This window comes from Homo sapiens, chromosome 12 (genome assembly GCF_000001405.40).
Source record: "Homo sapiens chromosome 12, GRCh38.p14 Primary Assembly".
Classification (NCBI taxonomy): Eukaryota; Metazoa; Chordata; class Mammalia; order Primates; family Hominidae; genus Homo; species Homo sapiens.
The window spans coordinates 9,461,557-9,476,886 of NC_000012.12; the positions used below are offsets into that span (position 1 = coordinate 9,461,557).

The 15,330-nt window shown below is 45.4% G+C and overlaps 1 pseudogene across 1 annotated transcript in view, besides 1 other annotated feature; it reads left to right on the top strand.

Annotated features, from left to right (window-relative positions):
- Positions 1 to 15,330, top strand: part of OVOS1P (ovostatin 1, pseudogene) — a 127,984-nt pseudogene that overhangs the window by 13,270 nt on the left and 99,384 nt on the right. The window lies entirely within an intron of this gene.
- Positions 7,701 to 7,750: a silencer, noted in NCBI's record as "silent region_4228". NCBI's record gives its function as "represses an Ori minimal core promoter by ATAC-STARR-seq in GM12878 lymphoblastoid cells {active_cell/tissue: GM12878}" and the evidence as "EXISTENCE:reporter gene assay evidence [ECO:0000049][PMID:35858748]".

Consider the following 15,330-nt stretch of genomic DNA (forward strand, 5'->3'; position numbering starts at 1 on the left):
ATTATCTTTTTTGTCGTAGGGTTATCACTGTAGGCTTACCAGTCAGCCAATATGAACCACAGCGGGCTCTGAGAGGGGATTGATGAAAAAAACTTCCCATGGTGGACACAAACAAAACACAACCAAAACAAATGAAGCACTTTTCCAACCCAGGCTTTCACAAAGGAAGAGACTGGTATGGAGTCACTATGAGTCATTTCTTCTACCAGTGGTACCACAAATGGTCCAAAGGCCCAAATGGTAAAGAAAGTGGACTACTACTTTGCACCCCAGTAGACTTACCTGGTTGTACAGCTCATCAGCTCATCCAAAAAGCTAGTTTCCCAGCACTTTGGGAGGCCAAGGCGGGCGGATCACGAGGTCAGGAGATGGAGACCATCCTGGCTAACAAGGTGAAACCCCATCTCTACTAAAAATACAAAAATTAGCCGGGCATGGTGGCGGGCGCCTGTAGTCCCAGCTACTCCTAGGATGCTGAGGCAGGAGAATGGGATGAACCCAGGAGGCAGAGCTTGCAGTGAGCCGAGATTGCGCCACTGCACACCAGCCTGGGCGACAGAGCGAGACTCCATCTCAAAAAAAATAAAAATAAAAAAAATAAAGCTAGTTTCCTCTCACCAACTAAAAGCAAAGGTAGGCAGTCAGTACTGAATGGGGGAAAGGAGGAAGTTTCCCTGAAGTAGAAAGAGTTTTGGCAGCCTCTCTTTGGCAGACTTTGGGGCTGTCTCTGCAGTTCCCTTCTGCCATGAGTAGCCAGTGCCACGGAGCATTTGCCGCTAACCTCTGGTAATGTGAGTGAGTTAGCCCTGACCTGCTGCCGCCATCAATTGCTCCACCTCTTGGGAACCAAGAAGTCCTCCCAACAATATGGATGAGTTAGTCCTGGTATGAAGCTGTGACCAATTGCTTTGTCTGTTGGGAGCTGACAGGGTGCAAACAGCCCAGAGCACACGGCTTCTGGCTGGGCTTGCCAAAATTTGTAACCAAACCCAGATCTAGGTCACTTGTTGCTTGAAAGCCAAAAGTCTAGAGACGAATGTTGGTGAAAGGGAAAGTTAGCTACATTCAGGAAGCCAAAAACTCGAGGGAGGCTGTGAACTCATCTTCAAAGACCACCTCTCTGATCTGGGAGGTTTTAAGGGAAATTAGGAGCAGGGCAAACAATGATCGAAGCATTTCACAAAAAGTTTTTGTTACTAAGCCTGACCTAACCTGAAAATAGCCTTAGCTTTTTTTCTCTCTCTCTTTTTAGATACAGGGTCTCACTTTGTCACCCAGGCTGGAGTGCAGTGATGTTATCTTGGCTCAGTGCAGCCTTGACCTCCTGGACTCAAGTGATCCTCCTGAGTAGATAAGATGACAGGCATGCACCACCATACCTAGCTAATATTATTATTATTATTATTATTATTTTTTTTTTGAGACAGAGTCTCGCTCTGTCGCCCAGGCTGGAGTACAGTGACGTGATCTCCGCTCACTGCAAGCTCCGCCTCCCGGGTTCACGCCATTCTCCTGCCTCAGCCTCCTGAGTAGCTGGGACTACAGGCGCCCGCCACCACGCCCGGCTAATTTTTTGTATTTTTAGTAGAGACGGGGTTTCACCATGTTAGCCAGGATGGTCTCAATCTCCTGACCTCGTGATCCGCCCACCTCGGCCTCCCAAAGTGCTGGGATTACAGGTGTGAGCCACCACGCCCGGCCAATATTATTATTAATTATTATTATTATTTTTGTTTGTGTATAGGCAGGGTCTCGCTTTTTTGCACAGGCTGGTTTCATCCTCCTGGCCTCCAGCAATCCTCCTACCTCAGCTTCCTGAAGTGCTAGGAATACCAGTCTGAACCACTGTACCTGGCTGATCAGAGCATTCTTATGAAACATGTGAAGTCTCAGACAGGCAGGCAGGCAATCACTGTTTTCTTGGTCAGTGTTGTATGACCTTCTGCAGGTACCATCAGGCTATTCTTATCAAGCCACTCAGCCCATTCCCAGAGTTGTTTGTCAGTGTTTTTTCTTTTATGTCTGCTGAAGGTCCTGTATTTCTGAGGCTGTTTTTAATGAATAATCTACAGTCTCAGGAAAAGCAATAACTGTATTCAAGCAAACAAGCTCTTCTCTAACATGGAGTCAGTACTGTTACAGTTTTTTTTTTTTTTTTTTGAGACAGAGTCTCTCTCTGTCACCCAGGCTGGAGTGCAGTGGCGTGATTTCTGCTCACTGCAAGCTCTGCCTCCTGGGTTCACGCCATTCTTTTGCCTCAGCCTCCCAAGTAGCTGGGACTACAGGCACCCGCCACCACACCCGGCTCATTTTTTTTTGTATTTTTAGTAGAAACGGGGTTTCACCGTGTTAGCCAGGATGGTCTCGATCTCCTGACCTCGTGATCCGCCCGCCTCGGCCTCCCAGAGTGCTGGGATTACAGGCATGAGCCACCGCACCTGGCCATGTACTGTTCCAGTTTTATCCAATAGTGCATACAATTTAGAAGCAGTGAAAAACATTCTGATTATGACCAACTTTAAAGATGTAATGTCAGTCCATTCTGGCCAATGTGGAAACAGGTTCTATGGTCTTTCCATATCTTTCAGTGTTCTCAGAACCAAGTTTCAATAGCCTTAATATTTCATTACTTTTGAGAAAAAAAAAAAGTTGCCCTCTGACTTCATGCCAGAAAAACTGCTAAGGATTTTATATTATCTCCTTAAATCCTCACAGCAACGTTGATAGATTAAGTCAATCCCTCAGGATTGGGTTTGCCTGTGATAGAAAACTCACACTCCCTTGCCCCCTTATGAACAAAGTCTGAAGGTAAACTGTGCAAAATGATGAATACCTCTGCTAGCATAAGTGATCTAGGTTCTTTCTATCTTTTGGCTCTTCTGCCTTTTAATATATCACTTCCTGCTGATGGTTTAAGATCACTCTTTAGCCCCAGGCATCGTGTTTCATTCTAGTCACGAAGAAGACAGACAGGATAGAAATGCATGTGCCCTTGCTCTTTAAGAATACTTCTTGAAAGTGCCATATGGGACTCTGCCTTCCACTGCTTGGTCAGAACTTAGCTACGTGGCCACACCTAGCTGCAAGGGAGGGTGGAAAACATATTCTCCATTCCAGGCAGCCAAATGCATGGTTTTTTAAAAAGGAAGAAGAGTATTGGAGGACAGTTCCACAGAGGTGTTATAAATACCATTTTGTGGATGAGAAATCAGGTGCAACGATATTGAGCTCTGACCTTTGAAGGAGCATAAAGAACTAGTCAGGAATACCTGTGTTCTTTTCCAGTGAATTCACAGCTGGAGTCACCCTAGCAGTGGCATCTGGGGTGCCACTGCTGGCATCAGGGGAGTTCCCACAAGGGAGTACCGCAAGCCATCCCAAGATGGGACCAGTTGGAATCCCAAAGAAAGAAGCACTAGATGCCAGGGTGATCAGTTCAAATTTATTACGAGAACTTAGGTAGAAACTGGGTTTCACCATTTCCTCCAGATAGGCAGTTAGGGAAAGAGGTGCTCTACCTAGCGAGGTCTGCAGCACGAGGATCAGGGAATGGAGTTGATGAGAGATTAAGGCATTTGGCTCAGGGCCTGGCCAGTTCCTCTCAGTGTTTGGGGCAACAACCTAAACACCTTTGTAGGTGTCTGGGAATGTTCGAAGCGAAACCTTGGGTTCCAGCCTGCAGGGCAAATTGTGTAGCTGATGGGGTCACAGGACAGTTGAGGCACTCTCTGTTTCTTGGTTAGGACAGAAAACGGGAAAACGGAGTACCCTTCAACTACTATGCGGTAGCGGGGAGAAAGTTTCAGAATGATTTTAAAAACTAAATTAGAATGAACTTCAGTTATTCCAACAATAGCATAACTTGTTCTATGGCAATCTGACGTGCTTTCTTACATGACGGGGGCTGTAGTCAGCAGCACTCCACTGTATGTATCCCACAGCCCACCTTCTTATGCTCTCATCCGTAATCCAAATATACCCACGGGAGTGTGGCAACCCTGTGAATTTCACCCAACACGTGTGGAGATAGAAAAGGGAATTGAAAACCAAACCCGATGCTGCTCTGCCACCCTACTCTCTTCTTGTGTCAGTGAAACCTTTCCTGAAAACTCAAGGAGATGCTTCCAGAACTGTTCTGTCACTTGGGCTTACCCCTAGTATAGATACTGACAGCCAACAGTTTCCTAGGGAGATAAGAGACAAGAAGCCTAAGGTATCTTCCAAGATCAAATCTACCTCCTTAGTCCTAATCCAAAGTTGTCCATCCCATTAAACCAAAGGTGGGAGAATCTACTATGGAGTGGCCTCACTGACATCCAGACAGACAACTGGAATAAGCTTTAGCCCCCAGTTCTAAATATTCACAGTGACTCACAAGTGGTTCGTAGATAGACCCAACTTCTTCAGGTGGACTTTGGTGCTTGTGCCTCCGTTGACCTTGTTAACCAAAAAGTGACTGCGACATGTTTCAATCAATTACAGGTTTATTTAGCCAAGGCTGAGGACACGCTGGGTCCCTGCACTGCCTTCTTCTCTGTTGGTCTCCTGAAAGCCTCTGCTTAAGGAGGTCTCCGTGGCCATCTTTAGCATCTCAGAGTGAATTAAATCCCCCTTTCTAAGGGCATTTTCCCGTGAAGCTTTATTCTCTGTGACATAAGGGGAGAGGGATTTTTAGAGAACCTGGGGTGGCGGGGGCTTTGGAGAGAGGGGGGATTCTCAGGGGATTTCCCTCTCCCCAGAGATACATCTCTCCATGAAACAAACAAACAGAAAGCACACAGTACAGTGCACAGCACACAGTCAGTGCTCAGGAAGCGTTGGTTCCCTGTCTGCCTACTGCAGTTGGTACAAACAACACTCAGGGTGCCAAGCTTCAGTTTGGTGAAGAAAAGCATAGCCCACATTCCAGTTCTCGGGCCTCGTCTTGAAGGGTAAGGGCAGCTCAGGCCCTGGCATTGCTTGTCCTGAGGACAGGCCAGCACGTCCTGTGCCTGGTGGTCTCCAGAAATGCTGTTGCCTGCCTGCTGCCACTCTGCATCTCAAGCTTATCCCCCCATGCCTTGCCAAAGCCCACTCCATCTCCCTCCCCTCCCAATCCACCTGGAGCTCCCACCTGTCATCTTTCCTTCCCACCGTGGGGCAGGTGGCGATCTGCAGGCCTCCCTGAGAGAGAACTGCCCCTACCCTGCCTCAAAGCCAGGGGCACTGATCCAGCTCTCAGCTCCAAGAAGATGGACTGGGATCTTCCCTTAATGCCTTCTGGGGTCTGGGAATAAAGATGGAGAGAGGCACTGAGCTGAGCACAAACAGGAAAAGGAAGAGCTCATGGCTCAGAGCTGAAGAAGACAGGACCCAGTGAGCAGAGGACTGTGTCCCCATAGGGAAAGACATGTTCTGGTAAAAGGCAGGTCAGGAGTTCAGGAAGGATTCAGGCTCAGTAGGGACTCCGGCTCACTGCCCTCTGCTTGGGAGAGCAAACCCTCCTAGGTGAGGTTTCCTTTCTGTGCCTTTACTGCAGGGAGCTGGTGTCAGAATCAAGGGCACCATCAAAACAGGATACCACAGACATCTCAGCTGTGCCAAACTAATGCCCAAAGGCTCAGCTGTTGCAGGTAGGGGTGGGAGGGCAGGCCCTCACAGGTGGGCCTCCTCACAGGCCCACCCTGCCCTTTATGGCACAGCCCAGGACCGTTAGGTCAAAGCTGACTTTTCCCAGTCTCAAAGCGCCGTCTTATCTGTTGCTTTATTTGTAACTCACAACAGGCCTCTGAGTCAGGCAGGGCATATGTCACTCCTATTTCATAGAAAGAGAAACTGAGGCATGGGGTGGGCTAAGTGACTTGGGCCAGAGGGTAAGTGAATTGGAGTCAGGACTCAGATCTCCTTGGATCCACACCAGACATCCTCCCACATGGAACCCTCTCCCTAATCTTAACACTTCCATGGCGTCATGCCTTCATCAGCCATCACAAGAAAATGAGGCCACAGAAATTGCATGCATGTTCATGTGTGTGTGTGCCTGTGTGTGTGTATATACACAAGTTCATGTGTTTGTGCATGTGTGCATATGTGCATGCGTGATGCCTTACTTGCTGAGGGAAGGGGAGGAGGGTTGGCAGCTGCTGATGATTTTCTCTATCTTGAATGTTGTAAGTGCTTTTCCCAGGAGAGCCAGATAGCCATGGTGTGTCAGGAGAGGTCTCAGAATGAGACTTATGAAGTGAAGATGAACAATGACACAGAGGCCTGCAGTGAGCCCAGTCTGCTCTCCACAGAGATGTGAGCTCTGCTGTCCTCTGCCCAGGATGGCCTGGGTGTGGAGATGGGTCTGGGGAGGCAGGGGCAGGTCCTCAAGATCCCTCCTCTGGGCATGATTTGTAGGAGGAGGGGATATCACAGAGAAAAAACCTGCACGGCCTCTGTCATCTTCTTAGTGGAATGGGGGCCCCCATCTCTCTTTTTCACACACACACACACACACACACACACACAGCCCTTTTTAGTTTGGCCTTCTTCTTAGTGGAATGGGGGCCCCCATCTCTCTTTTTCACACACACACACACACACACACACACACACACACCCCTTTTTAGTTTGGCCTTTCCTGACTGGGAAAACATCTAAACATGGTTTCTTAAACTGTTTAGGCTGTAACCAACAGACATAAATATATTTTCTGGTGACACTTAGTGCACAAATACATATATTGACAAACAAGTGTTTTGTGACACTACTATAAAATAAAGCTGCCCAGAAGAGGGCACTGGTGGCAAATCTAGGCCTGAGATTATTTTGACCTTGCTGGAATTTTTTGAATATTTTTGCTGCATATCTAGATGCATTAGAAGGTTGTGGCATCCATTTGGCTTTTAAATGCCAGCTATGAGAGAGGAGGTGGCCGCAGCACTGGCTAAAGGGCAGAAGGAAAAAGGGAAAATTCTCCTCCAAGGGAGCAGACCAATGTTGCTTAGACCCTAGCTCTGATCACCCTTCTCTCAAAACTCTGCATCCAAACCTCATCCTCAGGTTGATCTCTTCTACCCTTGACTGCTCTGTTCCCAGATGTACTGGGTTGAAAAAGTTCATGTCCACTCAGAACCCGGAATGCGACCTTGTTTGAAAATAGGGTCTTTGCAGATGTTACCAAGGTAAGGGGAGCTCAGTGGATAAAAGTGGGCCCTACTTAGTCCAGTGATTGCTGGTTTTATTAAGAAGAGAACACACACACAGACACACACGCACCAAACACACACACACACATATACACAAGAATGTGCCCTGTGAAAATGCAGGCAGAGCTTAGAGTGGCCTGGATCTGTATGTTGCTTCAGTTCTGGGAGCTCCCATGAGCCTGCAGAGAGATTGCAGGGTCTTCCTGAACAGTTCCTGAGGAGGAAAGAGAGACTCAGAGGATTGCCCCGATGTCGCCCTTCTCTCCTCCTAAACTCTGCTGGGCTCTCCCACTCCCCCAGGAAGACTTCCCTGCTAACTTCTGCCCTGCAAGTTGACCCTGACATTTTCAAGTGCCACCTGCCCCTGTGAACTTGAATGGATTGCGCTGTTCTTTGCACAAGAGCAGAAACGTCTGCCTGGAGTGCGGCTTGTCCTAGTGGCTGGGACTTCCCTGACACACAGCTCCCCCTGTCTGCCATGGAGTGGTCTCACTGACATCTGGGCAAACAACTGGAAGAAGCTACAGCCCCAATTCTAAAGGTTCACAGTGACTGGCAGCTGGTGTTGAGACAGACCCGCCTTCTGCAGGTGAACTTTGGTGCTGGCCTCGGTTGTCCTTTTATAGACATTACCTATTGTGAGGGGCACGACTTTCACCCTCCTGCCCCACCAGTGTGGCAGTGCATTTTTTATTCTTTACATTTTTTATTCATATTATTTCTTGTTCAATTGAAGATGTACTTCTTCCTGAGTGTGCCTGTGGCACAAGAGGCTTTCTGAAAGAAGCTGCTTAGGTGACTCAGCCTGGAAGCTGAGGCAGGTTGCAAGGGGGCATCTTCCTGAGCCCTCAGTATGTCATCCATGAGGGACTGGATGGGCTCCGGGGACTCATTCTTCACTCCTTCCAGAGCTGAAACCAGAATGAGGCCAACTCAGACTCTGGACCCTAAGCACCGCCTCCCTAACCCCCTTCTTCCCACCCCATGCCAGGTCAGCATTGCACAGCTCTGCTTAGAATCATGTTTGCACTATAAAAGCAATACTTGTTTCACTGTAGGAAATACTTAATACACAATTTATTTTAAGGAAAAGAAGAAAAATCACTCATCCCAGAGATAACACTGCTAATATTTGGTAGCTGTCCTTGCAGTCTTTTTTTAAAACAGCAACCAAACAAACAAACAAACAAACAACAAAAAACAACCAAATGTTGATAGATTTTTTTTTCACAAAATAGGACTAGTAATTTTTTTCATTCCATAATATATTCCTCTATACAGCATAACAGGCAATCACATGATTCTACCATAACTTTTTTTAAAAAAAAACAGGGCCTCAACCAGTCGCCCAGGCTAAAGTATAATGGTGTGATCATATCTCACTGCAGCCTCAACCTTCTGGGCTCAGGTGATCCTCCTACCTCAGCCTCCTGAGTCATTGGGACTATAGGTGTGAGCCACCACATCTGACTAATTCTATCATAATTGTTTTGGTAAATACCCTATTTCTGAATAATTAGATTCTTTGCAATCTTTCACTGTTACAAAAAGTAATCATAAATTCATTCAGCAACTATATATTGAGGACTTACTATTACCAGGCACTGCTAGGGGCTGGGGATCCAGGGGAGGACAAGAAAAACAGATTACCACCCTTGAGAAGTTAGCATTCTGGTGGGGGAAAGACAAATCAGCAGTTAAATGCAAATTAAGTAAAAGGGAGGAAGTTGAGGGGAGTTCTGAGACCAAATGACTGGGGAGGAGCCCTTAGGCCCATCAGGGGATGCTTCTCTGAGAAGGTGATGCTCCAGCTCAGACCCGAAGTTGAGAGCCAGCCTAGGAACACACAGGGCAAGGGCAGAAGACTTCCACATGGTGTGTGTGGGGGTCTCTTTGTGTCATAGAAAGTACCAGTGTGACTGCAGTTCCCAGAGGGGCAGGAAGTGGTGTAGGCTAAGGGTGAGAGGCCTCAGAGGTCAGGACATTCTGAGTTGGGTGAGTGAGAATATGGGAGCAGACTGAGACCCTAAGAGCAGTAGGGAGCTGCTGAGGGGTTTAAAGCAAGGAGTGGCATGTTCCAGCATGCGTGTTCTAAAGAGAATCTGGCTGCTAAGAGCAGAATCGTATAGAGAAGAGGAAGAGGGTGTTGGGAGGCTGTTAAAGTGGTCCTGTTAGGGAATCATGAGGGTGTAGAGTAGGGTGGGAACAGAAGAAATGGAGACAGGAAATTCCTTAGCATGAAAAGGACAAAGACGAGAAAGAATCTTGGTTCAACAAAACTTGTTCGTTTTAGGCCTTCAAACCCATCAATGTCTACAGCGTCATGTTCGTTTCATTCACTTAGAACAGAACACAAGAACGGGGCTGAAGCTCTAACAGAAAAGACATAAGACCCTTGAGAAAGCATTACTTGAACACAAGGTTTCTGGGACATTAAACATGGGTATAAGTGCTGCTATAGTACCTTTCTGGGGAAGACTTCCTCCTGTCTCGGGGACTTAGGCATCATTATCAAAGGCAGGGTGGGATGAAGAAAGTAAGGTGAATGCTCTGGTAGACTGAGAAGTCTAGGATATACAGGGGGACTTCAGGTGTCAAAACAAGAGGAGAAGGCTTCAGAAGCACACAATGTCAGGGTTGGAATTGAAGCCAGGTTGCAGCCCAAAGGGGACAGACAGCCCTGCCAGTTACTGGTGCTTCAGAGGTGGCACGGCTGCTCTCGGAGAAGCAACTGACTATTTCAGTTTTCCCTGACTACAGCTATAAGGACGCTCCCTACCTGCCACCCTCCATATCATCCCCCGCCCGCACCTAGACACCCGAATCAAGGCAATGAAATTGTCTTGTGGGACATCTATGTGCCCAGCAAAGCTCAGCACATTTTGTGCATTTTTATTCAATAATGACAATGGTGTTCAAGATCAGCGCTGTTACCCTCATGACACGGATGAAGAAAGGCCTAGAGATGAAGTCACGTGCCCAAGTCTGCAGGGTCCTGACTCATAGAGCTGGTATGGAAACTGATCAGGCTGGTTCTGGAGCCCCTGCTTTTCCATTTCACCACTGACTTGGAGGAGAGAGAAGACCCTGAAATATCGTTTAGTTCAATACTTGACTCTCTAGACAAAGAACTGGGAATGACACATACGGGAAATAAGGAATTCTCCATCTGCAGAGGTCTGCTAGGCATTTTCTCTGAGGAGTCAATCATTCACCATTCTCTCAAAAGCAGCTTATGCAAAATATGATCTCTTAGCAGCCACAGTATTCAATACCCTGATTAGGTTCAAATCAGAAGGCAAACACCTCAAGGACAAGAGTTTGCAACAAAAAAGGCAACAACAGCACCCTGGACACTCATGTCAGGACATTCCAATGTGCATACACCTCCTTAAGCACAGAGGGACTCTGAAGATGATCTACCAAAGCAAACATTCTTTCTGTTTTGTCTCCACATCAAAGGAAGGAAATTGTTACATGGAAAACAGGAACAAATAATTTATAACCCATTTCTGCTTGCTCCTAGAATGGACTGACTATCCTCACACCCTATCACAAGCACTGTTCACCCCTCTCTTCCTGCTTAGAGAAGTTAAAAACTGTGCTTCAGTGAGCTCCCATCCCACTCAAAGTAAAACCCTCAATCTTGACTGTGCATAGAAGACCCAAGAGGATTCTGGCCCCACTACTCTTCTCTCATCTCATCTTCTGCTCTTCCTTCTGCTCCCTCCATGATCATCATACTGGCTTCTTGATCCTTGAACATGCCAAGGACTCTTCCCTTAGAGAGCCATAGAGCTCCCTTTCTCCCTTCCTTCAAGGTGTCAAAGAAAATACTGTTTCAGCACCCTCCAAGTTTATTACACCCAGAAGGATATTAAGACCCAAGACTGAGTTGCACCACCGGTTTCCAATTCTGCTTCTTAGATTAAAGGAGAACTCTCTTTCCCATTGTTCTTCTTCTGTGAATGAGTAGGAGAGACCAGAAACCAGGCCTTGCCCACTATGGAACCCAGATCTTTGTTATAGTTTAACTGACTCCTTTATTGTCGTGTACCTTGCTAAGACCAGATGACACCCGAGATGCCTAGACTGTTAAATCTTCAGTGAGGAATGTTTAATCTACCTTTCCACAAAGAAAAAGACCACCTGGACTAATTAGATCATTTAAATGATGCATTAAACCTTACATAGAAAGATGTTGAAATTCTGCTAGGCTTTCCCAAGCTTCCTCTGTATAAAGGATCCCAAACTTCACTTTGGAATACAGACTTCCATTCTGTGGAATCTGGGCTTCCCACACAGGCCTGTCCTCAACGTTTGTGCTTAAATCAACTCTGTTTAAGGTAAATTCTGACCACCTTGCATCCTTTAGTTTAACATGGGTCTCTGGTGAAATGCCTCCTTATTGGAGAGGACATCTCTGTCACCTCACCCTCATACACTGCTCAGCCCCTCCCACACTGCTCAGCCCCTCCCCTTGCTTTATCTTCTCCATGGTGCTTCCCTGACATGTACGCCCTTGTTGAGGGCTTGCTTCCTCTCCTTGGCTAGAATGTAAGTTGCATGAAGCCAGGGACATCAGCTTAATTCAGTGCAGCATCCCCAGGGCTTAGAGAATCACCTGGCACACAGGAGGTTTTCAATAATTAAGAAACAAATTTGTGTAAACAGCAAGAGTGGGAGTTGGCAGAAGTGCATTCTATATAAAACACAGGTATTTGTGTTTGGCTGTTGGTGCTAAGGAAGGCTGTGAAAGGTGAGTTCAAGTTTGCTTCTGATATACATTGGAAATATCAACTCCTCTTTCTCCATAGCCACAACTCCCACTCCCTACCTCTTTTCTTTCTCAGGACTTTGGGAAGATTCAAGAACAATGTAGGGAACATGGGCTGTAGGAAGAGCCCTGAGTTGGAATTCTACTGATTCTCCCAGTCATTCTCTATGTGACCTCAGACAAATGGCTTAGCCTCTGAAATGGGTAGGGTTGGATGTCAGGATGGGTAAATGAGAGTGAGCTGGCAATCTCTGGTGTCTGGATGAATTGCTCAGGGCCTCTCTATTCTACACAATCTTGGGATCTCTTTTATCTTAGAAATTTATGCCTAGCTTGCACTTTACTCAATAATTTGTCCACTACAATTTTTAAAAATGTTTCAATTTTAAAAGAATATGATTTTAGAAATATGCACCAAAATAGTTATAGATGAAACAACAAGAAGTCTGGGATCTGATTCACAATAATCCTGACAGGGAGACAGTGTAAGTAAGGAGACAGAAAAACACGGGTGGCATGAGTTGCTGTGGCTGGGGAATGGGCACATGGGAGTTTGTGATACCATTCTCTATACTTTTGTAGAGCACTGAAAACACAACTGAAAATCTTTGCAGCCATAAAAAAAAAACAAGATCATGTATTTTTCAGGGACATGGATGGAGCTAGTGTCAATTATATTTAGCAAACTAACACAGGAACAGAAAACCAAATACTGCTTGATCTCACTTATAAGTGGGAGCTAAATGATGAGAACACATGGACGCATAGAGGGGAACAACACACACTGGGGCCTATCAAGTGGTGGAGGGTGGAAGGAGAAAGAGGACCAGGAAGAATAACTATTGAGTAATAGGCTTAGTACTTGGGTGATGAAATAATCTGTACAACCAACCCCCATGACACATGTTTACCTAGATAACAAGCTTGCACATGTACCAATGAACTTAAAATAAAAGGGAATAAATAAATGAAAAAAAAGGAAAATCTTAAACCACCTAGAGAAAAAAGATCACCTACAAAGGAACAAAAATTAGAATGACCCCAGGCTTCTTCACACCGACAAAGAAAGCCAGAAAACTATGCTATATAATATCTTCAAAGTGCCAAGGGAAAACAATTGTCACTCTAGAATTGAGTCACCAGTACAGTGGTCTTTCAAGAATGACAGTAAATAACATTTCAAACAAAAACTAAGGGAGCTCACTTAAGAGCACTAAAGAAACTTTTAAAAGCTGACTCTGCAATGAAGAGAAGTGGATGGGCCCCAAAGGAAGGTCAGACATGCAAAAAGAAATGTAAGAATGTATGTAAGTCTAAACAGTTTGTATAAAATGATAGCAGTCATAGCCTCTGATAATGGTTTGGCTGTGTCCCCACCCAAAATCTCATCTTGAATTGTAATCCCCCTAATGCCAGGTGTCAAGGGAGAGATCAGGTGGAGGTAATTGGATCATGGGGGCGGTTTCCTCCATGCCGTCCTCATGATAGTGAGTTCTCACGAGGTCTCATGGTTTTATAAGGGAGATTTCCCTGCTCTTGCTAGCAATTCTTCCACCTGCTGCCTTGCGAAGAAGGCGCCTTGCTTCCTCTTCACCTTCCATCATGATTGTAAGTTTCCTGCCTCCCCAGCCATGCAGAACTGTGAGTCAATTAAACCTCTTTCCTGAATAAATTACCCAGTCTCTTCATAGCCGTGTGAGAACGAACTAATACAGTCTGTAATTTCTGGGCTAGATAGAACTAAAATAATGGCCATCAAAAGCCTGTAATTGGGAAGGACAGTGATTGGAATGAATGTCAAGACAGGACAGAAGGTTATAATGTAGTTTTACTTCACACTGTTAAGTTTAGAATGCATGATAAAAGTCTACTTTTTGGTACCTAGCCCGGAGAACCCTTCACAATTGTGTATAAGGAGGCATATTTAAAAACGTTCTGGGGACAGTGGGAGGAACAGCATCAGGAAAAATAACTAATGCATGCTGGGCTTAATACCTAGATGATGGGTTGATAGGTGCAGCAAACCACCATGGCACACATTTACCTATTTAACAAACCTACACATCCTGCACATGCGCCCCAGAATTTAATATAACAATAAAAAAAAGTTCATGCTAGTATTGCTTGAATAGTAACATCCTGGGAACAACTTCAGTGTTCATCTACATGGGAAATGATTTCTAAACTCTAGAATATCAATACCACGGAACACTACTGGGAATGCAGTAGATCTGTTGGAACCAACATTTCAGTGGGAAACAAACAAGTGTCTGAAACTTTTCATACACATATTTATAAATATCTCTTATGAACATCAATGCAAAAATCCTCAACAAAATACTAGCTAACCAAATTCAACAGCATATCAAAAAGATAATACACCATGATCAAGTGGGCTCCATACCAGGGATTCAGGGTTGGTTTAACATACACAAGTCAGGCCGGGCACAGTGGCTCACACCTGTAATCTAGCACATTGGGAAGCCATGGCGGTTGGATCACTTAAGGCCAGGAGTTTGAGACCAGCCTGGCCAACATGGCAAAACCCTGACTCTACTAAAAAATACAAATAAATTAGTTGGGCATGGTGACACACACCTGCAATCCCTGCTACTTGTGAGGCTGAGGTATGAATATCCTTTGAACCCGGGAGGTGGAGGTTGCAATGAGCCAAGATCATGCCATTATACTCCAGACTGGGTGACAGAGCAAGACTCTGTCCCCCACCCCCGAAAAATATATGAGTTAATAAATGTGATACACCACATAAACAGAAGTAAAAGCAAAAATCATGTGATCATCTCAATAGACACAGAAAAAGCATTTGGTAAAAATCCAGCATTTCTTTATTATTAAGACCCTCAGCAAAATTAGCATGGAAGACACAAATCTTAAGGTAATAGAAACCATCTATGACAGACCCATAGCCAACATTATACTGAACAGGGAAAAGTGGAAAGCATTTCCTTTGAGAACTGGAGCAACATAAGGATGCCCACTTTTACCACTTCTATTCAGCGTAGTACTGGAAGTCCTAGCCAGAGCAATGAGACAAGAGAATGAAATAAAGGGCATCCCAATTGGTAAAGAGGAAGTCAAACTGTTGCTGTTTGCTGATGATATGATCGTATACCTAGAAAACGCTAAAGACTCATCCAAAAAGCTCCTATATCTGATAAATGAATTCAGTAAAGTTTCAGAATACAAGATCAATGTACACAAATCAGTAGCACTGCTATACACCAACAGTGACTAAGCTGAGAATCAAATCAAGAACTCAACCCCTTTTACAGCAGCTTAAAAAAAAACAACTTAGGAATATACCTAATCAAAGAGGTGAAAGATCTCTGCAATGCAAACTACAAAACACCCCTGAAAAAA